General features: G+C 40.0%; 1 protein-coding gene and 1 long non-coding RNA gene across 7 annotated transcripts in view, besides 3 other annotated features; one reads left to right on the top strand and one right to left on the bottom strand.

The window, feature by feature from the left end:
* SMAD5-AS1 (SMAD5 antisense RNA 1) lies at nt 5,280–10,657 on the bottom strand. The gene is made up of 2 exons (NR_026763.1): nt 9,117–10,657; nt 5,280–5,548 (listed from the first exon to the last, which is right to left on the bottom strand). It is a non-coding gene; the product is annotated as an SMAD5 antisense RNA 1 (long non-coding RNA).
* Nucleotides 7,876–7,935: an enhancer, noted in NCBI's record as "active region_23178". NCBI's record gives its function as "activates an Ori minimal core promoter by ATAC-STARR-seq in GM12878 lymphoblastoid cells {active_cell/tissue: GM12878}" and the evidence as "EXISTENCE:reporter gene assay evidence [ECO:0000049][PMID:35858748]".
* Nucleotides 7,966–8,015: an enhancer, noted in NCBI's record as "active region_23179". NCBI's record gives its function as "activates an Ori minimal core promoter by ATAC-STARR-seq in GM12878 lymphoblastoid cells {active_cell/tissue: GM12878}" and the evidence as "EXISTENCE:reporter gene assay evidence [ECO:0000049][PMID:35858748]".
* Nucleotides 8,326–8,965: a silencer, noted in NCBI's record as "silent region_16379". NCBI's record gives its function as "represses an Ori minimal core promoter by ATAC-STARR-seq in GM12878 lymphoblastoid cells {active_cell/tissue: GM12878}" and the evidence as "EXISTENCE:reporter gene assay evidence [ECO:0000049][PMID:35858748]".
* Nucleotides 8,612–23,693, top strand: part of SMAD5 (SMAD family member 5) — a 49,889-nt gene continuing 34,807 nt past the window's right edge. For 2 of the 6 annotated variants that reach the window (NM_001001419.3, NM_005903.7), the window contains exons 1-2: nt 8,612–8,729; nt 23,599–23,673. The gene's annotated coding sequence lies outside the window, so the exon portion shown is untranslated. Of the gene's footprint in view, nt 9,727–23,598; nt 23,674–23,693 lie in introns of all 6 variants that reach the window. The other 4 variants (XM_024446047.2, XM_024446046.2, XM_017009470.3 and 1 more) reach the window with 4 other exon arrangements.

Consider the following 23,693-nt stretch of genomic DNA (forward strand, 5'->3'; position numbering starts at 1 on the left):
TGACAAGGAAAAGGAAGGAGGTATAGGAGACGCTAGGAGAGGTTGGAAGGGACTGAGCTGTAGAAAGCAGAGAATGCAAGATTTTACAGAATATAGCAAAGTAAGAAATGGGCTTCATGTACAAAATATTTCAAACAAATTCTCTTATATCCTTTAATGATTAACAAAGCATTTTGCAAATACCAGTTTCTAAAAAAATGAAGCTTCCAAGGCAGGTTACAAACACTTCTGAGAGTTGTAAACCCTCACAGGCTATAGGAATATGTGCATTCACAACAGCTAGTTCTTTAATGGCTTGTGCCTTAGTTTCTTCCTTTATAAAAAGGAGAATGATAATGTTGGTAACCATGACTACATTGTAGGTTATCGTAGCATTTCATCAAATATAAAAGGCGTGTCACTCTGTACTTTGCATAAATAAGTGCTTAATCAATATCAGCTATTTATGTGTGTGTGCATGTGTGTGTATGTGTGTGTGTGTGTGTGCATAAAGAGATGTCTTGTAAGATGTTCCATCAATGTATTGACCATGGTCATTTCTGATTCATGGGATTTTAAGTAATTTTTACCTTTTTGGACCTTTTTGCTATAATTTGAATTTTCCCAATAAACATGCATTATTTGTGTAAAAACTATAAAGCGATTTTTTAAAAATCCATACTTAGCAATGAAACATTTCAGATAATGTAGCTGAGTGGGATACAGCTTTGCTTGTAACAGCCTTTCCAATGATCAGACTGAATAGTTAACCCTTCAGTGCTAAAAACTCTATTTCAGAAAAAGGTCCTTGTTTTACATTTTCATAATTAAATGGTCTATTACAGGTGGAAGCTTTTTACAAAACAAGGAGTTCCTTAAAGGTAAGAAGAGTCTCCTCCACTGAGAATATGTAGGCTTCCAGCTTTGAAAGGATAGATTTTTGATTTTTAGTCTGAGAGTCTTCCATCTAGCGTTTATGGATTTTGAAGACAGAAGACAACCAAACATCCCCCAGAAGACTGTTAGCTTCACTAGCACAGGGAAAGTATAATTCACCTTTGTATTCCCAGGGCTTGACACAGTGCCAGGCACGGAGTAGGTACTATATAAACATTTTTATGTTGAATGAATAATCGAATGAATGAATGGTAAGTTTAAGGGCTGAGTTTCTGCTTGGGAGATGGAGAGAGTCACACTCTCTTACATACTAATATTTGAATAGGAAATTTAAAAAAATTAAATGGGAGCAAAGTGATTTTAACTAGGAGCACACATAAGACCAAAATTGAAGCAGAAAATTCAATGTCCCTTTATTAAAGGCCTACAGCACACCGGGCCCTGATCTACATGTTGAGGACAGTTGTGAAGAGGAGCTTAATTACATTGGGGAATACAGACTTTGATCAAGCCATGACATGTGGGAGGTGAGTCCCTGCAGGGAAAGAGCTGGATGCTTTGGCAGCATATGATGGGGGCACCCAGTCTAGGTAGGGTGCAGTGGGGAAAGCAGACATGGCCAGGGAAGGCCTTTGTAAGAAATTGGCATTGAAGTTGAGACCCAAGGTTGATGAGAAGGAGCAAGAAAAGTCAAGAGTGGCGGCAAAACATTTCAGAAGCTTCCAAGGTGGAGACATAGAACAAGCTAGGGGACCACAGGTACAAAGATCCTAATCTGGGGAAGAGTTTGTGATATGTGAGGAACAAAAAGAAGGTCAGTGTGAGCAAGGCACCTGCGAGAAGTGGGCCATGGCAGGGATCACATCACTCGGGTCAGGGCCATGGGAGGAAGTTGGGATTTGATATGATGTGTAATGGGAAGATCTTGAAGAGCTTTACTGTGACAGTAACCATAATCTTATTTATATTTTCAACATGGAATAGCTGTTGGGTGATAGAGGGGGTAGAGTGAGGCTGAGTGGAGGCAGAAGATAGTCCAGGCAAGAAATAAGGGTGACCCGGACTATGACCTGGGTCTATCTGTAGACAGTAGACATGGAGAGAAGTGGATGGATTTGAGCTATGGTTTGAAGGTAAAACTGATAAGACTTGGCAAATGGAAAGTTGAAGGGCAGCCCTATTTAACTCTGGCTGCTCTGTCTAACAGCAGCCATCCTTTTTCATCCCAGCACTCTCTCCCCCAACTTCCATTCATGGTTTTATTTTTCTACAGGTACTTGTTACCATGGGACATATTAAGTTTTATTTGTTTTCTCACTATTAATAATTATCTGTTTATTACAGCTTTAACTTTTGTCTATTTTGTTTAATGTCCTATTCCTTATGCCCCAAACATTCTTGGCACATATTAGGTATTCAATAAATATTTATTGCCTTATTGAATAAGGGCATTAATTTAATAAATGAATAAGTAAATGAGGGTGAGAGACAAGGTAAGTGAAGAATGTTTTTAGTTGGCTATTCCTTCATAACAAACAAACCTAGAATCTCAGTGGTATACAACAACAGACATTACTTTTTCTCACTCTTGGGTCTGTGAATCAGCTTGGGTAGCTGTGCTTCAGGCTTGCAGGTCTGTTGAGCTAGGCTCTGGACTGTGGGTTGGGATCCACTCTGCTCCATGTGTATTTTCATCTTCCTTGGCTCAATGGCTACCTGGAGTCTGTTCTTCTAAATGGTAGATGGCAAAAGCACAAAAGACCAAATTCAATTTCAAAGGAGCAAGGAAGAATATTTCACCTTCTCTGGTGGAAGATACTGCATGGCAAAGGGTATGAATGTATAATTCCACAACAGGGGGAGATTGAGGATTAAAGACCTATAATCCAATCTTCCAATATGACAGCTAGGTATGGCTTGAACAACTACATGGATGGAACTGCCATTTACTGATATGGGGAAGACTGGAGCAGGAACAGGTTGGGGAGAGAGGATAAAAATTAGGAGTTCAAATTTTGACCTGATAAATCCAGTGAGACTGCCAATGACAGGAATCACAAGTGGTAGAAATGTAACTGGCTTAAGCAAAAGCAGAATATAATGGTGAATGTAATTGGGAAGTCTAAGGAGGATCTTCAGAGCTTCAGGTACAGCTGGATCCAGGAACTCAAAAAATTTTGTCAGGGATTTGACTTAGCTTCTGTTTCTTTGATCTGTTTCTCTTTTTTGGCTTCACTTCCAAGCAAACTCCCTCCACATGGTGGTGAGATGGATCCTGGAAGCCTCAGAGTCACCCTTAGCTTAGCAATGACAGTAAAAAGAAGGACTTTTCTCTCTTATCCATACATCAGTCTAAGAGATGATATTGTTAATTTTGCTTAGGTCATATGTCCATTTATCTGATCTGTTTCTCTCTTCTGGCTTCATTTCCAAGCAAACTCCCTCCACATGGTGGTGAGATGGCTCCAGGCAGCCTCAGAGTCACCCTTAGCTTAGCAATGATAGTAAAAAGAAGGACTTTTCTTTCTCAACATCCATACATCAGTCTAAAAGATGATATTGTTATTTTGCTTAGGTCATATGTCCATTTATCAACCAATCACACTGGCCTGGGTAGCTGAGGTACTATGATAACCCTCCTTGGTCACGTGCCCATCTCTGGGGTAAGGTGTCTGGTACTGTAGTTAATACAGTAAGGAAATGATATCACAAAGGAAGCAGGAAAAAGATGATTGGAAGGTATTGGGGCAGACAAAATCCAAACTACTGCAGTCTGGTAGAGATGGTAAGAGGGTAGTTGAACTTACGGGTCTGGCGTCCATTAGCCAAGTTCAAGATGGGACCAGAAATTTGGGAATTGTCTATAACAGATGGTACTAGAGGCCTGGGAGTGAATGAGATTACCTAGTGGAGTAAGAAGAGAAGAGGGTCTATTGTACTGTAAAATGAATACACACTTTATGTGACAAACAGATTTGCTAATTCGTTCTTAGAAATTGCTGGCATATCAGGAGAATACATGTGTTTTTAAAATAAACACCTGTATAGCACTTACTTTGTGTCAGGAACTGTTCTAAGAACTTTGCAAGTCTCTATGCATGTAATCCTCATAATTCTATTAAGCTGATACTACAGTTATCCCCATTTTACAGATGAGGAATCTGAGGCAGAGATTGGGTTAAGAAACTTGTGCATAGTTATACAGGTAGTGAGATAGTCTGTGTTCAAACAAAGAAGTCTGGCATCAGAGTTCTCATGATTAAGACTTCATGTAGTTAAAGAGCTTCCTAGAGAACACAAAATTTTCATCTCTTTCCCCTCTCCTCAATTCCATAACACTTTCAGATTTTCACCTGCTGCTCTGGATTTGTGGTGGGGTACACATGTGGTTTGGCTTATCTGAGACTGTCTCTGAGGATGAAAATTGAGAAGGTAGAACCCCGGAGGTTATTCAAGTTAACTTGGGGGGTGTTCGCCATCAGGAGAAACAGATGCTGTTTAAGTCAGGAAGAAATGAGTGTTCGCTCCAAGGCCTGCTTCAGAAAGCCTCTTTGTTTTATGACTCTGGGTGCAAGCAACCCTTTTAATTTTGTGTCTTGGATTCCAGCCATAGGAGGCCTTCTTTAATGTGGCAGATGGCTGGAGACAGGCAAGCCAGGTTTCTAGACTCTACATTAAGCTGCCTTCCCTAGAGAGGAGTCTCCTAATTATGTTGCTCTGAAAAAGAGAAGAAAAGATACCTTAAAATGGACACATTAAACTTATACCACGTGTAAAGTAACCACTGTCTTAAGCATCTGCAAACATGTGGAGGTCAGGAAACCTTTGAGAATCTGATGAAAGCTATAGGCTTTTTCTGCAGAAAATTTGTATGTAGGTATATACACAAAAATGTGCACATTAATTCCCGGGGGTGGGGTCACAGATTCTCTGATATCCGTCCCTGAAGCTTCAAGGAGTCTGTGGCTGCCAGATTCCTGTGCTTTGAGTGGAGGCAGCTGTCATTCTTTTACTTTTTCATTTTTCAATACATTATGATCTCAACTTCTGAGCTATGAAAATAAAGGGTCTGTGGATTATAAGGGAAGCATTTCACACCAGAACACCAAAATTTTACTGGAAAAAACTCCTTTCAAATATTGGATAAAATTACTTTTGCATATTCTCTGGTCAGCATGGAAGGTTTGCTCATTCTGTTAAAGACTGACATGAAATCTCTTCTGACAAACATGATGAGCTTTTTCTTACTGGATTGTGGGGTGCGCCTCTGCACATCATTTCCTTGGAACCTCACTCATCTCAGAACTCCTCAGTTGAGTTCTGGCTTCTGCACTGTTTCCAATATTAAGAATTGGGTGCAGTGGGCAGTCTGCCAATTAAAGAATAACACAGAATTCTCAGAATTTGGAAAGGAAGCTTTATTGTTTCCAAGGACTCTGCTGGAGGAGTCATACAAACTTCGCCATTTCTTCCTCTGATGTCCATGTGCCATGATTGTCTGAGGAAGGGAGAAAAAGTCTTTGAAGTGGCTACCAGGATCCTTTGCAGATCTCTGGGATGTCATTCACTCATGCTTCTATGCTGGGTGACTCCTACCATCATCACATTCTTCCAATTCTCCCAGTAGGGTATGCAGTAGTCATGTAGGCAGAGCCTTCTGAGCTACAGCAAACTACAAAATTAAGATATTTATTAATGATTTTCAAACCAAAAACAATTTGCCTCAATTACTAGACATTTTAAAATTAAAAAATACAGAAATGTTTCTAAATTATTCCAGTTCTTCATCTTCCATATATTGTCTCACCTTTCCTGAAAGTTGCCTCCTTCTTAGACCTGAAAAACTCAAGGAGGGAGTAGGTCATGGGCTAAACATTTAGGCTAATTCTCTACATGAAATTGATAATATAAATGATTATTGAAAAAATTCAAAGGAAAGGATCATTTCTTCTGTAAACATCAACCCAACCCAAGAAAAACTATTTGGGATTTAAATCAGGGTTTCTCAACCACAGCACAACTGATATTTTGGGTTGACTAATTTTTGGTAGAAGGAGGCTGTTCTGTGCATTGTAGCATGTTCAGCAGTGTCTCTGACCTGCAACGCCTAGATGCTAGTAGCACCGCCCTCCTAGTTGTGACAACCGAGAACATCTTTAAACATTGCCAAATGTTTCCTGGGGGTGCAGTCACCCCTGGTTGAGAATTATAGGACTAAATTGTCCAGAAATAGGTTTCTCTACAAGTAAAGTAAAATTGAGTATTGGAGTTGCTTTTATCTGGTCTTCTTGATCAGGTGAATGGCTAAATGAAAAAAGCAGTTTGTCTATTTTGATGCCCCACTGACTATGTCTATCTGTTCAGATCATCCTGTTCTACATTTGTTCTTAGATCCCATTTGATTGCCAAAAACAGGGACTTCCTTACTTCATTCTTATGGTTCTGGGATTCCTGTTCATTTGCTGTTTTATAATGTTTTTGACTGTATAGATATTTAGTGATCCCTCTGATTTTCCATAGTCTTTGAGGTCTAGGTAATTTCTTAGACCTTCGGAAGGCTGCTGGTGTGGTACTAAAATCTCCATTCCTCTCTTCTATGTTATCTCTTCCAACTTTAGACCTAAACTGAGCTCAAATAGCAAGTTGGAGAGGCTGGAGTTGCTGGCTGATTTGATCAGTATGTGGACACATAACTTAGGAAGCAAAACTGTTGGCTATGAGATTACATATGTGATTATGAAAAGGAATCTTGTAATCACAAATTCTTCTGACGTATGTACAGTGACTGCAAAACAGCAAATAATTTGTTTTGGGAAGGATTTTATTGGCTGTTTGAAGTGAGGAGTATCTCTACTATACAAAATATTTAAACCAAATTGTTATGTCCTATAATGTTCAACAAAGCACTCTGCAAACATCAGTTCTGGAAAAAAAAAAAACGTATCCTCCAAGGCAGGATTATATGCACTTCTGGGAGTTGTAAACCCATGCAGGCTCCAGAAATATTTGCCTTCCAAGGGCTGGAAACTTCTGAATTAACAACAAATAATCAGTGAGTGTGACAAAGAGTTAAAGTACACAGACTTTACTTTCTCAAAGTTTATGATGTAGTAAAGAAGTTTAAGATGGAGACCTGAAATTGCAAACTGGTGGCCAGTAGGCTAAATCGGGACCATGGATTTGTTTTGTTTGGCTTGCATGTAGTTGGCCTCCAGAATGTCTAACAGAGTGAGAGGAAGGGAGCGGGGTGGGGGGCGGGCAGGAGACAGGCAAAGAGAGAGAAAAATAGAAAGAAGTTGCTAAACAGATATAATTGAGATTTTCACATAAAAATCTAAATTTCCAGCTTTGCTTGAAAAATCAGAATATCTGCCAACACTGGGTCCTTATTCCCACATTTCCCTATGGTAACAGTTGGCTGGAATGAAATAGCAGTGACCCCTTTGGTCTCTGGAACTAGACACTCACTCTCTGGTCTCTTCCCCCACTTCCCCTTCACTCCTTTACTAGCCCTCTGTCACCATTTCAGATGGCCACCCCTAATGCAGAGACTTCTGGACATTTATTTAGTTTCTTCTCCACAGAAATAAACTTCTAGAGCCTGGAGCAAAATAGTGGCTGCGCCATTTGTGTGTCAGATGAGATGACCCTGGCTCGGGCCATGGAGGTGGCAATTGAGGTGTGAGAAATGGTCAGATTTAGGATAAATTTTGAAGAAAGAGTCAGTAGAATTTCTGATGGATTGGATTAGGGTGTCAAAGAGCATTCCAAAATGACCCCGATTTTGATTTTTACTTATTTTAAAAAGAAAACCTATAATAGAACATTGGAGAGCCAGTATTGACCTTTTCAAATAAAAACAAAATTATTCAAAAGCTTTTTCTTACTAGTACTATTCAAATCGGGTACCCTATGTGGTACCAATATTATATTCTAGGAAATACTGACGGTTTTGGAAATTTGGAGGAAAAAGCATCGAGAAGAGCTCCAATTACTTAGAAAAGAGAGTCCAGGAGATGGGGTGGTGTATATAAGCCTATGGATGGTGTCTCTGCAACTCAGTGGCCCCGCCTGTCCAGGGGCTGGGTCCCCACGGGATCTCCCTCCCCACAAGGAGGTGGAGAGGCTATGTGTCTTGAACAACTGGGGTTGCGATCCAGTGTATGGGCAGTCCCACTCCTGGAACTCCAGGGTGGGCACTCGCTCCATTTCCACAGGCCCTCAAGGGTTCCAGGATTGCCCCGTGGGAGGGGTTTTAGTGCTGCATCTAGTAAGAAGCTGTAAGATGCTCAGAAACATGTTTTGAAGCTACTTTGCACAGAAAGAAGACTCTTCATTCAGATTTGTATTACAGATCAATAAAAGTAGCTAAGTCGTATCTGAAGATGTTTTTGTTTACACTTTGTATGTGACAGAAAACCTCCAGTTGTCTGTGTCAAGGACAATTACTTAATTTTATTACAATGTATACTGATTTGGTTAGTGGAAGCTTCTAGCGCCTACTGTGGTGGTGGTGGGAGCTATCTGATTCCCATTCCCAGGCCTGGCCATCGACGCGAAGGCCTCCAGCTGATCGGAAGTCGGCGTTGGCCGGCGCGGAGCCCGGCGCGGAGGCTTCTTTCAGCCGCCCGGGCAAGACACCCCTCCCTCGGTCCCGCAGCGGTCACTCCGCCTCTGGCGCGCATGCGCCGACCCCAGCGGGCGTCCTCCCGGGCTCCCTCTCCCTCCCTCCCTCATCCGGGTCCTGGGCGAGCGGGCGCCGTGCGCGTGTCCCGCGGCCGAGCTGCTAATAAAGTTGCAGCGAGGAGAAGCGCAGCGACGGCGTCGGGAGAGCGCGCCTAGCCGGCTCGCGAGTGAGTGAGGGTCCCCGGCGCGCGCGGGCGAGGGGAACTGGGGGCTGCAGGCTCTGCCCCGGCGGACTCGGGCCGAGGCGGGGGCGTTCGGCCGCGGACGGAGCGGAAACGACCCAGGGCCTGTCGGGCGGGAGGTAGGCCGAGTCCTGGCCTGCCGGGGTCCCGGCTGGCGGACACGGTGCGGCCCAGCGGCTGCGGAGGCCTCGCTGGCTGCCCGGGGCGTCCTGAGGCGGGGCCGGGGCTGGCCCTCGTCCCAGCCCCGCTGTTACCGCCCAGACTTTGGAGGGAGGCGTCTGGGACGCCCTGGAGGGGACCCCCTGACCCCGCGCTGTCCTGGGGAGCGGTTTGCTTTCCTAACTCATCGGATGTACCACCCTGGATACACACCCTTGATAGGACTGCGGTGCTCGGCCGGGCAGCCTGGGCTGCTGCACTGCGAAGCTGTCCAATGGCTTGATGAATCCGTGCCGCCGTCGCTTTGTGTTTCAAAGATAAGGATCCGCGCTTATCGGTGGGAATTACACTCTGGGCAGTTGTGACCGGCTACTGCAATCAGCTGGTAGTTAGACCTGGTTTCTGCCACTTGCCATGTCAGTTTTCACCACTGCAAGGATTTCTTCTACTTCATGTAAACTTCTCTGTGCTGCAAAGAGAATGCCAAAGCAGCGTCTTTTTGCCTTCACCATATTCAGCCGCTGGCCGGGTCCTATACTTCAATATCAGGGCTCAAATTAATATTCCAGTCTCTTCCCCTCCCCTTTTCCCCTCTCCTCCTTTCAGCTGCTGTTACTACGTGGAGTTTGGAGCCTAAGCTTTGAAAACTCCCATGTGGCGCGCCCGTCTTAAGTCTGAGCATGCTCAGTAGCCAAAACAGATTTTTGGTTGCAGAACTCGGGCGAGGATACTTGGGGTATTTGGACGTTTGCCGGCTTCCCAACAGAATGTTCCGGTTCTGGTGGTGATGGCATTGGAGAATGGGGCTTAGGCAAGCCTGTAGGTGAGGAATGGCTGAACACCCTGAGCCAGATGTTTATCTTGATTGTAAAGACAATGTTTCCTGACCAGCTGGAGCTTTGGGGGGGGGGGGGGGGTGTTGCGGGGGGAGGGAGCAATTTTGGTTGCTTGTGCATTTAAATGGGTGTGGCGCTAAGTATATCTTGTTTACCTTATCTTTCTGTGGAAAAGTTTTGATGTCTAGGTTTGTCACATCATGCCTGTTGCCTAGCACTACCAAAAGGGTTGTTATCTAGCAGCAAAGATTGAATAGGTGGAGGTCGTGGCTTGGCCTCACAGAAGTTGAGAGGAAAGGGTACTTGGGTTGCGTTTTTGAAAATTCGTATTTAAAACTAGAGTACTTGAATTTCCTTAGAGTACCTGAATTGCCCAGAGTGAATTAGTTTTTAATTTTAATTTGAAAGACAAAAGATTGAAAACCTTAGTCCCAGTAGGTTTAGTAACATTCCAAATAGCTTACAATTTCTGCTAGATGCCAATGCAGTAGTATCCATTGTGGGGAAAACAGTACCTACATTCAGTGTGACAGTTTCACATTTATGGATCCAAATATCATTATGAAATTAGTGTTCCAAATTTAAGGAGCTATTTGCAGATGTATAACAAATTATTTTAGTCTTTTATTCCTTTGGTAACTATTAATATTTTTTTCTCTACAGTGAAAATTGTAAAAATGCAAAACTTAGACAATTTAACAAAACTTAACCTTCATAAAGGTTGTAGATACTATGTTTAGATTTATAAAGTTTAATTTTGATGATTATTTGTGTGATTGTTCCTATACAGCTTCCTTTCCTTCCCTTTCCACATTGTTGCTCCCTCAGTCTTTTTTACATTACTGCTGTTAATTTACCCATGTATCTTTGTTAAAAATACCTTATTCATCATTTTGTGCTTCCATTCCTTTCAGATCATAGCTGAAATAAGCAAGAAAAGTTAGATTAACCTTCTCAACTGACTTTACTCTCAGGTTTTAAAGGCATCCACATGATATGGTCTAGTTAAAAGGAGGAAGAGAGCAGCAAACTGGAAAAAAAGAATAAAATATTTTCGTAGGTTCTGTACAGATCTGGTAGTATTATCTGCGTGTCTGGTTCACTGTGGTAGGCGCCACAGAAATGGGTAGATTGATAATGTGTTGGATTTCTTTCCCCTCTGGCAAAGTCAGCTATTAATTTCAGTGGGAGACAGTGGCAGAATGTTGTTACTAATGAGGTTTGAATCAGATTGTTGTTTACTGTTGGTTATGTAACATGTTGCTGGGAGTATTATTAAAAGTTGCATTCTGCAGCAAAGTAGAGGCAAGTAAATTCTGCTTACCCTCTTCACTGGGTTTTAATTCTTGGCTGAACCTGAAGGCACATTAGATTACAACCATAATTATACCTGGGCAGCCTGTCTGTTTCCTGTTTTCATCATGAACCCAAACATTATGATTTGCAGTGATGATCTTTTTTGTCCTTTGCATTGAACGGAGGCAGTGTGTTTTCTCCCTCTACTGAAAACAGATTTGTAACTTGGTCAAATTAAAGATTTTAGTGTTTTGAAAACTAGGCAGTAAAATACCAGTTTTTCATTTCTTAATACAGTTACTTAAGTTGAAATACCATCTAAAAAAATCTATTTCATATATATTCTTTGTCTTTATGTAAATTTTAATATTACTAGTACTTTGTAGAGTTAAAGAAACTCTTTTTGTTTATGACATATCAGTGTTTATTATTACCAGATGTATATGTTGGTCTAGGCAATGAGCCACACATCTGGGTGAATTTCAGAGCTGACTTGAGTACGCTTGAGGATATAGGTGTCTATTCTCTTGGTTTATCAGTCTTCCCTGTTTTTACTTCTAGACGATCTATATTCCTTGTATCTGTCTGTCTGTCTCTCTGTCTCTCTGTACACTAACCACAAAGAAGGCAAATAGTTTATTTCTTCAAATGTTACAAGCAGCTTATAGCCTATGATTTGCCCGTCTTCTCATAGGGTCAAAGACATTGAGTAAGATTCCCTTTTATAAGGGATACTAGTAGCCTGAGGAATGATTCTTGTCTCCACCAGTCTGGATATTCTAGAGAAAAGAATACCTGGATATTCTAGAGAAAAGAATATTCTAGAGAAAAGAAAAGGCCCAAGGAAGCTGGGATGCAATATAGGGTGCTTTCCCATCAAAACAGATGATGAAGGACCCTTGGAAGCTGACCCATGGCATCCCCCCGCCACTGGGTTCTAGCTCTGTCGCCCAATCTGGAGTCCAGTGGCGCAATCTTGGCTCACTGCAACCTCCGCCTCCCGGGTTGAAGCAATTCTCCTGCCTCAGCCTCCCAAGTAGCTGGGATTACAGGCACCCACCACCATACCCGGCTAATTTTTGTATTTTTAGTAGAGACGGTGTTTCACCATGTTCGCCAGGCTGGTCTTGAACTCTTAACATACCTTGTTTTTCCACTTCTGAAGTTAATAGAATAATAGTCATTGGAATTTGCAGTTCATTGGTGTTGTCACATACCCTTTACCTCTAATCAGAAGTCTGAATCTGAGAAGTTTGTTTACTAAATGGGAGGTAAAGATTTAGAACTCTTTTGGAAGAATTGTTAAAAACTAGATTGTTGTTAGGACTAATCTCATAGGCCACCTTAATATTCTAACAGCTTTGTTGTTTTCCAACCTGGAAAGATGGGGTAATTACAGAGTTCTTAGGTTTTTCATAAATAATCAGCTAGTTCTGGGCTATTTATTTGAGAGTGTCTCTCTCTGTCGCCCAGGCTGGGGTTCAGTGACGCGATCTTGACTCACTGCAATTCTGCCTCCCGGCTTCAAGCGATTCTCCTGCCTCAGCCTCCTGAGTAGCTGGGATTACAGGCACCCACCACCACGTCCAGCTCATTTTTTGAATTTTTAATAGAGATGGAGTTTCACCTCGTTGGCCAGGCTGGTCTCGAACTTCTGACCTCAAGTGATCTGCCCGCTATGGCCTCCCAAAGTGCTGGGATTACAGGTGTGAGCCACCGTGCCTGGCTGGGCTCTTTATTTAGTTTTGATTTTTTTTTTTTTTTTTTTTGCCTTGGGCAGCTAGGGGGGATGTTTTTGGCCCAGTTCTAGTAGAGTGGTGTTTTCAGTGACTTTTCTTCCTCCTTTTACTGTATCCTACCTTGGTTGAGATGATATTTTGCAAGAAAGAGTTCTTTATTAAGTCAGTTCTGTGTGTGCAATACTATAATTGTAATTCACTTTTGGAAGCTAGTTATTAACATAACATTTTGTAACTAGGTTTTGCTCTTGAATTTTTTGGGACCCCCCCCCGCATCTCTTCCTATAGCATATATGTACTTTATAGACTGGTACAATATAGAAGTTTGAAAGTGATTTGACCTGTTAAGATTTTAGCAGGATTTTTTCTTTTGATATCCATATATGTTGTTTTGTTATACCGAAAATAATAGAAAAAAACTAGTGTCCCATTCCCACTTTTTCTCTGAGCATAGCAACTGGAGTCTTGGGAGGAGGCTTACATCTTTCAAATTTAACTATGATCTCAGAATATGGCTGGTGCTTTCAAGGCAAGTTTTGTTTTGTTCAGGTTTGTTTTCATGATGTGTTAGGATCTGCCTAGTATCCTATCTGGTAGGCTGTACAACTTGAGTTCTAGTTATTCTGGTTTGTGTGTTCCCAGGAAGAGGGGGGTTCTGCAAAAATATTTAAAAGCCAGTCTTCTTCTGTTTTCTTCTTAGTCACATCTTCTGTCTACTTTACTCATTGACCATTTCTCATTCTTTGGAGATGAAAGTGTAAATTAAGTGAATGATGACACTAGAGCTGAAAAGTTACCCAGAGTCATGTTTATTCCCTTTTCTACTAAGCAGGGAACTTGAACTCTGGGTGCACATGAGTTCTCTGGAGAACATCTTCATAATGCACTGTAATATATGTCGTGTACACAGGTTAGCTCTTTGTGCTCCAGAGACACATTTTACAGTCATGATTTGGTATCTGCACTTGATGATTTTATAATTTAAAGGAATCACTACAAAGATTGACCAGCTCTGTGTCTGTTCCTGTGCCTACACGCCTGTACAAGCATACTCAAACACATCTGGTAGCAATGTAGGAAATCTTGCAGGCTCTGTGGGGGTGAGTGATACATTTAGATCAGGCTCTGTTTAATTAGGGGACTTAGAGGAGCAGGTGAAGCTTAAAGAGTGATTAAAAACTGGGAAACAAAAGTCTGGCTGTGGGAGATAATAAAGTAGAGAATTCTGTGGGCACAGAATAGGCAAGAAGATTATGCAGTGAGAAGTGTTGGGAATCATGAGTTCAGCTCCTGAAGGGCTTTGAAATCTGCTATGAGAACTTCTTATGTCTTTGGAAATCGGGAGCCACAGTTGAGGAAAGTGGTGATTTAAATGTTTCTCTGTGAAAATAATTTTGGCGCCCATGTAATTGTATCCTGTCTTTCTTGTAGATGTTCTTATAAAGAATAGGATTTCTGAATCTAGAAGAGCTGTGAGCAAACATGCTTTTGGTTTCCTTCTCCTCTCTGCGTGCAGTTGTGAATGTGGCTTACAAAGTTGATAGCAGTTGTATACATGGATCTAGGGATGGTTTGACAGTGGTGGTGGTGGTTGTCTACTTGCTGACACTTGGTGACTACTATTGATAATGAGAACCACAAGGGTAAGAGATTTTTAAAGCTTTACCCCCACATCCCCCCTGCCCCCAAAAGTTACCCTTAGGTTGTATGTATGCAAGTGTCTTTCTTCCATTGCAGGAGATCCTGAGCACCTTGGTTCCCAAGCCTCCTGCATGGTCCGAGATTCTTGTTAAAAATGTGGGCAGTAAGGCCCTTCTGCCAAGCTTAGTGAATCTGAATTTTGAGGGATGGTTCTAAGGAATTTGTTGATTTAAAAACCCCATGTCCAATTATTTTGTACAGGTTTGAATTAGAATACAATGGGTTGTGACCCATTATGGGCATTTATTTTCATGGGATGATGTGCTCAGGAGATTTTGTTTTGGCCAATAGTGTTGAGGAAAATGTGGGGATTGGTTTGCTTGCCTTTTTATTTCAGATTGCAGCAGTCATAGAGATGTTGGAGCACAAAGTGAAAGAGTTGTTTCTGTGAATTCACTTTAGAAATCTAGCTGTGAGCTCTGTGTGTGTGTGTGTGTGTGTGTGTGTGTGTCTTTCTGTATGTTTTTCTGTATGTATGTGTGTCTCGGGGTGGGTATTGAAGTCAGTTTGTGTGTGTGTTTATTATGAAAGTTGGTCAGGATGTAGTACTTCCATAACCTTAGGTAAGAACAGGACCTTTGGGTTATTGATTCAACATGAATTCATTTGAAATAGAAGCTTTGTGAAGCTTAGCAACATTTTATTCATATGGTTAATGTGTATAAAACTTAACCCTGAATCTTCCTTTAGCTTTCTTATCTGCATTTGCCAAATCAGTTGATGTCAAACCCCATTCTTCCAGTTGTCCAGGCTGATACCTTGGAATCATTGTTAACTCCTTTGTTCTCATACACCCCATGATCTCCTTCATCAGGAAGCTTACTGTCTTTCATATGTCTGCTGCTCACCACCCCACTGCTATCACCCTGGTTGTAAGCCATCGTCATCTTCTCCCCTCCCTTAGATTACTGCATCTCTGAACTGGTCTCGCTGCTTTTATCATTGCTGTCCACCCCTCCTCCTGCTTATTCTCAACATACCAGCCAGGATTTATTTATTTATTTTGAGACGGAGTCTTGTGCTGTCACCCAGGCTGGAGTGCAGTGGCATGATCTTGGCTCACTGCTACCTTGACCTCTTGGGCTCAAGTGATCCTCCCACCTCAGCCTCCTAAGTAGATGGGATCACAGGCATGTGCCACTGCACCTGGCTAATTTTTTAATTAAAAACAATTTTTTTTTGTAGAGATGGAGTTTTAAAAACTATGTTGCCCAGGCTAGGCTTGAACCGCTGAGCTCAAGTGATTCTCCTGCCTTGGCCTTCCAAAGTACTGGGATTACAGGCATGAGCCACCACGCCTGGCCCAGGATAACTCTTTTTTTTTTTTTTTTTGAGATGAAGTCTAGCTTTGTTGGCCAGGCTAGAGTGCAGTGGTATGATCTTGGCTCACTGCAACCTCTGCCTCCCGGGCTCAAGCAATTCTCCTTCCTCAGCCTCCCAAGTAGCTGGAATTACAGGCACATGCCACCACACCCAGCTAATTTTTGTATTTTTCGTAGAGACGGGGTTTCACCATGTTCGCCAGGCTGGTCTTGAACTCCTGACCTCAGGTAATTTGCCCACCTCGGCCCAGGATAATTCTTTAATAGTGTAAGTCGAGAACTATCATGTCTGTGCTCAGAGCTCTCCACTGAGTTCACAGTTTCCTTAGAGTACTGTAAAAGCTAAAGCCTTTATATCCAGCATGGCCATTCTGGCTCTCTGGTATCTCTTTGACCCCACTCCTTACCTTTTCCCCCTCGTACACTGTGTTCTCAGGCTATACTGGTCTTCTAGCCAGTATATGCTCTTCATGCCAGAAGCATGCCAGACATGCTCCTACCTTAGGATCTTTGCATTGCCTGTTGCCTTTACCTGTAATGGTTTTCCCCTAGATATATGCCTGTTGGCTCACTCTTTTATTTCCTTAACATTTTAACTCAGTTGGCACCTTCTTGGTGAGACCCAGCCCAGCCACCCTGTTTAAAATTACACCTCTCTTCCAGGACTTCTTGTCCACCTTCCCCTGTTTTAATTTTTCTCTATAGCACTTTTCACCTAACAAACATATCATTTACTATATCTCGTTGGCCTCCTTCTGCTGGAATATAAGCTAAATGAAGACAAGTGTTTTGGTTCCTTTTATTCACTTCTATATTCCCAGCTCCTAAAATGCTATCTTAATAAATATTCTTTTGGATGAATGACTTGAATGAATTTGACAAGTTATTGTAATGTATGTGGTACTGTTTTTTAAAGATTATATTCTAGTGCGAGAGACAGAAATAAAGTAAATGAACAAATTATTATGAATCAGTTAATACAGTGAAGAAAATGAACATAGTATTGGATTAGAGATTAGGGAAACTCTATATAGGATTATGGGGTGATCAGGGAAGGTATCTGGGATGAGAGCTAAAGCTGAGACTTAAATAACGATAGAGCTAAAAATTAGTGGCCAGGGATTAAGAAAAGTGGTATAAGCAGAAAATGGCATTTGTAATATCTGAGGTTCAAAAGACATTCCAGTATAGGAAGATAAATGCTTTTGAAGAATGAGTTCTTACTAATATTTATTGGGAGCAGGAATAATGCTTCTGGAGTTTGATTTCATTGTTTTGAGGAGCAACAGCTCATTTGTAGTAACAGGACACACTGTGAAAAGTGCTAGATACCTGGATTACATGCCCTTTCTCTGTCTCTCTGTGTTCCTCTAGTAACTTGAGTTTATCTCATTGTACTTACATATAGGGGTATAGTTTGGTGTCTGTCGTGCTACGTTATTCTGTGAAGGGAGATTCTGTCCCGTTTGCATTTTTGCTATTCCCACTCTTCACTCATATAGTACCTTTGTATGGGACTTAGAAAAAGGCCTTCTCATTTATTCCTTCACCCTTGGCTAGTGCTGATAAACCCCTGCATGTCCTACAATGTCTGCTAGTTAGTAGGTGCTCAATAAGTGTTTAATGATTCATGGCTGTTATAGCTGCTGAGTCAGTTAATGCACATATACTTAAAGAAGTAGGTGTACCTTATGATAATCATTTCTGTATTTCTGTTGATTAACCTAGAGTACTATAGTTATGGAAGTATTTGTACCTAGTTTCTGATTTGATTTTTCTTAGTTTCAACCTCCAAATTTGTATAACCCCAAGTATATTAGAGAGAATTGTTTTGAAGCAGGAATGACTCATGATAATGTAAATCCTCTCTTTAGTAAGGGTTCATAATATGGCTGAGGTATAGCTGCACTTTAATTTTGAAACCTGTTTTTCCTCTGACTCTTCAAGAAATATGTTTATTTTAAAAAATATAGAATTAGATGAAGCAGAAAGTGAAAAGTACACCTAACCCCACCACCAGAGCTAATATCACAAACCCTTTCTTTCATTAAACAAATATTTATTGAGCATATGTATCACTAGGCTTACAGTGATGAGTGAAAACAGATACAGCTCTTCTCGTGGAATTTACATTCTTGTGGGGACAGATTTGAAAGGTAAATGTAAAAACATAGGTGTGGTAAGTGCTACAAAGTAGGAGTATGTGATGCGGTAAGCATATAAGAGGGGGACTTCTAGCCAGGACGGTTTGGGAAGACTTCCCCGAAGAAGGGATGCTTGAGCTGAAAGAGAGGTGAGGTGTGTGTGTGTTTTGTAATGTGATAGATTCATTTGTAATTCATGATATACCGTAATTTTATAAGGTTTTCATTTATGGCTGAGGTACCACTGCATCTCTTTTGGTACACTAATGACGTTCTGTGTTCAGTCAGTGGTTGCAGTTTTTCAGAAGAATCAGGGAACCTCACGTACACAGGAATTTCTAAATATTATGATTACCTTGGTTTTCTTTCTAGCTTTGAGGTCATTTCTCTAAGAAATGACAAAATACATCAATAAAAGGGTATTATCAAGTCAAGTCTTCATAAACCAAAGGTATACTATGAAAGGCCAAGATAATAGCAGATAATGGGTTCATAGCTGTTAAGTCCCTCCAGTTTCTAGTGTAAGAAGGAGCATACCTTCCTGTCTGTTCAATTATTGGCTCTCTGTGCTTGGTGTACATTTTTTTAAACTCAATTTTAATGCCCTATTTCTGTTGGCTATCATATGGAAATAAATATAGGATAAAACTAAGTGATAGGCTAAATGGCATATGAAACTCTTTATAGCCCCTGTTCTTTTTTCCATTACTCTCTAAGATCTTACAGAGATTATGGTTAGTGTCTTTTAAGCCTGAGTTCCTAGCATGGAGTATTCCTGACATACACTAGTGGGCACCCGGTAAATTTTGAATAAATCAAATGTCTCCTCTGTCTAATATCACAATTCATCTCTCCAATTCATATGATCCTCAATATCTACATATTTATTCCTTTTCTCCTTGAGCTTTAATTTTATATCTTCCTGGATGCATGCCAGTATTTGTTTCCTTATGTCCCTCCACTGTCACCTTCTTGCCTTGTTTTGGCCATAACTAGAGTTACCCTTTGGTAAGTGATGTTTTCATTATTCAGGGTTTAAACCTTAACTTTTCTAGTTAGGCTTCTGTTTATTTGTGACATCCCTCGTATCTCTTTTTTTTTTTTTTATTTAATCACGGTGTGTGTGTGTTCCTCTCAGTTAGGTTACTACCATGGTTTTCATCTACGCTTTGTCCCCCTAGTTAGTCTCTTACTTGGTCCTTTGTTGTTGGAATTTTTGTCTTCTTGAAATACCTCTTCGAACATGTCTTTCGGCTTAGATAGAACTCTACACGGCACATAGAACTACTTCTAGCAGTCTGACTCCTTAGCCTTGTATTCACAGTCTTTCCCTGTTTGACCTTCATTCTGTGGTTGTGCCTTTCCCTTTTGCTTCACAGTCAGACTAGCTGATTGTCACCTCCTAGCCTCCCTTCCTCATTTGGCTGAGTGATTTGGTTTTCCTCGTCCTTGTACTTTCTTGCCAAGTGGACTGTGAATGATAGATTGTTATATTTCTATCTCGTATTCAGTATTTTGGTAGTCACTCTCAAAATTTGTGCTTATATGACAAGCAGTTATTCTTGCCTCATCCTTAAGCTCCTATTCACTTAGGTGCAGTGTGTTTGAGTTTGCAGGGGAGGGGTAGAATCTGTCCAAACCAGCTGTTTTTTTTGCACAGTTGCTAAACCCCCTCAACCAACTTCTTGTCTGTTACTGGCCATTTGCAACACAGTTAATTCCTTCTTAATCAGTCATATTCACCAGTATATAATCTTTTCACTTTTTTCTTCTTCCACTTTCCAGTTATACTGTTCTTTCTGTTCCATGTATGTACTCTAAATACCTCATAAACCAGAGGTATACTATGAAAGGCCAAGATAATAGCAGATAATGGGTTCATTATCTGAGTCTGAAAGTGTTTGATCACTCAGATTTAATTCCATTCATTCATACGGCAGTTTTGATGAAAATTGACTGTCTCACCTAACACGAATTGTCCCGTGGGTTTCCTAATGAGATTTTAGATTTAGATTTTGGGGGATTCTCTGGTTTTCAAGCTAGAAGTAGAAATTCCCTGAAAGGTTTCATGGACACTGTTCAGTGTAGTTTGTGTTTTTCTTTTATGATGCTCATGGTTAGCCTGTTCTGAATTACTGTAACAAGACTTGGCTTTTAAAGAAAAGGCTGTTTGACACTTAGCCTTCTGAAAGTTTGGTTTAATACGGCCCTAGTAAGAGCAAAAAAGAGAAGGCAGAATTTGTCTTCTATCCCTGATTATGTTATTGAAATAAGATTAACATTTATAAACAACTGTTTTACAATAGGTTTCTATGGAGGTTTATTGCAAAAGAAAATAGCTTGACGATTTAAGTTCCTTGAAGCCTATTGACTTTTTGGTTTTCTTAGGAACTAAATATATTACCTCTTAATATGTTTAGATATATATAAATATATCTTATTATATTGGTATATATTAATATATATTATTCCCACTGGTGTACTTTAGGATAGGTATGTTAGGTGGCTCAGGATGAGGATTACAGAGGTGCAAATAGAATCTGCTCAGAAGCCAGATTGTCTAGGGCATTATTTCACCTATGTGGACTGTCAAATGCATCTTCCCTTGACTTACTAGAGAACTCAGAAGTAAGCAAGCCCTGGAGCACCTGAAAGTACCAAGGATACAAATCATGTATTCCATGCTAATTGGGTTCTTTTTGAGACAGAAGGAAAGTTCATTTTCATTAGGTAGTTTATCAAGTTTCTCCAAAAGCAACACTGAGGAATATAGGAGAAGCTATGAGAAATGCAGAAAGAGAAAAGAAAAAAAAAAGAGTTAAAAGAATGAGAACAAAGGAGGGGTTAGAATGACAGATACTGGGGGCAAGTGATGGGGAGCATCAGAAAGGACTTTGAGAGAGGACAAAAGAAAAAGCTGCCGTATTTCTTCTAAGATGTAATTTTTTTTTTCACCTCATAACATAACATTAACTGTCTTACAGTTAATAGCATCTGAGTATTGCTTTTGGCCAGGTGGCAGTTTTGATCTAGTTGTCATTGTACAGGCATGGCTCTGACTTGCTGTTTCTGTTGCTGTCATTTCAGTCTCAGTGTGGACATTGTTTTAACTTCTCGTGTTGAGTAATTGCCATTTAAAATATTTTCTTAGTTGTTGTTTTCACATCTTCATTTAGATCCTCTAGGGACACCAAACAGGCACCAGTATCAAAATTTGCAGGATGGTTGTCAGTGGCTTGAAAGACAGTCCTGGAGCAGTGTCGGAACATTCTTCATACTTACATTCTTGATGGCAGAAGGATGATACTGTGAATAAAAATTTTAAGTTATAAGAAAGCATTATGCCATTTACTTTGCAGCTTTTTCTTCCTTCAGGGTTCATAAAATAATGCGGACTCTTAAAGTACATGACTGTATGCTTATTGAAATAAAGGATCCCAACCATTTATTTAAAATCCTCAGCCTGATAGCAACAATGTTCATGATTATTACAACAATAATAACTACAGTTGCCCTTTATTGAGTATGCACTGTGTACTAAGTGTTTCTCACTTAATTCTCAGAACCTTTTAGGGCCATAGTATTCACGATACAAAATAGGAAAAAATGGAGATTTTGGGTGTAAGTGTTAGATCCAGAATTTGAACCCAAGTTTATTAGGCTTCAAATCCGGTGCTGTAGTTCCTCATCCTGTTATATAAAGTATTACTTTGTGAAAGACATAGAAGCTTTTATGCTTAAGATAAAATTGTCTCCCTTCATCCTTCTCCCCAAAGGGTCATATCCTGACTTCTTTTAGCGACCTTTATATCTTTAGGGCAACTCCATTCTCCACTGTGTATCGTAGATAGTTATGGGCACATTTCAGTTGTTCTATTAATTTGTGACTATTTAGAGTTAGTCTGGATCTGATTTATATTTCAACTCTTTATTATCTAGCTTAGTGCCTTGCCTTTTATAGGCACTCAGTAAATATGTGTTGTATAAATAAGGCTATAAGTGTGAGCTTAAGTTTAGCACTGGTTATTATGTATATTTGTGTCTCAGTAGACTCTGAAAGCATTTAGAAAAGGAGTATAGAGGACCAAAATTTAGCTGTCCAGTAATCTGTAATGTGTAAAGACTGTTGCAGTTGCTAAGTACAGTCTTTTGGGATTTTCTCTATTACTGGAATAAGTGTAGAGGTGATGTAGAAGAGTATTATGGGGTGTTAGATACACAGCTGATTTAAATTGAAGATAGGTGTTCTCAGTGTTTCTAAATTCGTTTTATTTAGTGAAAGGCAAAGGGGGCATGAAAAATTGAATCAACTTTTCAGGAAAGAGACTCAAAATGTTCAGAGGTATTGCAGGTTCACTTGTGGCTCATGCAAATCAGAACGTATTTTATTTTTTGTATACATAATGAGAAATTTTTTCATAACCGAGTACTTATGTGAGGATACTAAAGTAAATCTATTGCTGTAACCCAAGCTCTCTGATCATTTTATTTCAAATTTTGGACCAAGGTGTTATTTTGAATATAGTATAGTCTGCAGAAAAGACTAGGACAAAATGCATCCATTATATGGGTACCATAAAGAAGTTTTAATCTCAGTTTAACAATTTTACTTTTACTATAGGTGGTTTAGTTCCTTTAGAAACCTAGCTGTTAAATATTAAGAGAATAGATGAGTAAAATATGATTGCACCATTAAAGGCATTTAAAAAAATCTATATATTCGGGTGAGGGAAGAGCAAATGCTTGTGGTGTTAAATAGAAAATGCAGAATACCAAGTAATATCATGTTATATCCTGTTACGGGCAGTTGTGGGCAAGACTATATATATGCAGAGGAAACAAATATAAGCATACCATATGTTAATGGTATGATTATAGGTGAGTATACTTAGGAAAAATATTTTTTAAGGAAAAATATTTTTTAAAAAGTGGTACATTGTCTCATCATTTCTGAGATCATTGTGTTCCAGTAATAAGTGTGCTAAAAATGTCCTAATGATAATTAGAAAAGCTTTGGAGTAAGATCACCACAAAAAAAATATATTTTTATGCAGTGGTAGTAAGCATAAAGCTAAACCTTTCATTCCTGCTGATTGACCTAGCACAAATGTGAGAAGGTTGGGTTAAAGTTGATAGGTTGATGACATACGTTAAGTGGTATAAAAATAAGTTTGAAAATGAGCAAATTAAGCTGGATTATTCTTGATCTCTTAAACTATACAATCTTATGATAATATTTAACAATTTGAATGTTTTGGAGAAGTCAGGAATATGAAGAACAATTACAGACCTGTAAGGGAAGAAAATTCCTTGGCAGGAGGGTTTCTTTCTAGGAGGCAGTCTGTACAGTGGTTTGGAATATGGATTCTGCAGCTGGACTGCCAGGGTTCAATTCTCAGCTCTGTTTCTTGCTTTCTGTATAATTAAGCAAGTTACATTTAATTTCCCTTTGCCTGTTTTCTCATCTGTAAAATGAGAATAATGGAATTTGCTTTATAAGGCTGTTTTGAAATTTAATGATTTTTGGTTTCTAAATGTAAAGTCCTTAACAGTACTTGGCATAGTGAGTGCTCAATAAATGTTAGTGGTTTATTATTATTACCATTATCAAAGGAGTATTATGATTCCTTTGCTTAAGCAATTGATTTTTTTTTTAGAAAGGAAGCTGTTGAAGTTATTGAAGTACCTGTTGCTATATTCTAAGAAATTAAAATGTCCAGAAATCTGCCTCTGTAAGTAACCTTTTAAGATC

The sequence above is a fragment of the Homo sapiens genome, chromosome 5 (genome assembly GCF_000001405.40).
Source record: "Homo sapiens chromosome 5, GRCh38.p14 Primary Assembly".
Lineage (NCBI taxonomy): Eukaryota > Metazoa > Chordata > Mammalia > Primates > Hominidae > Homo > Homo sapiens.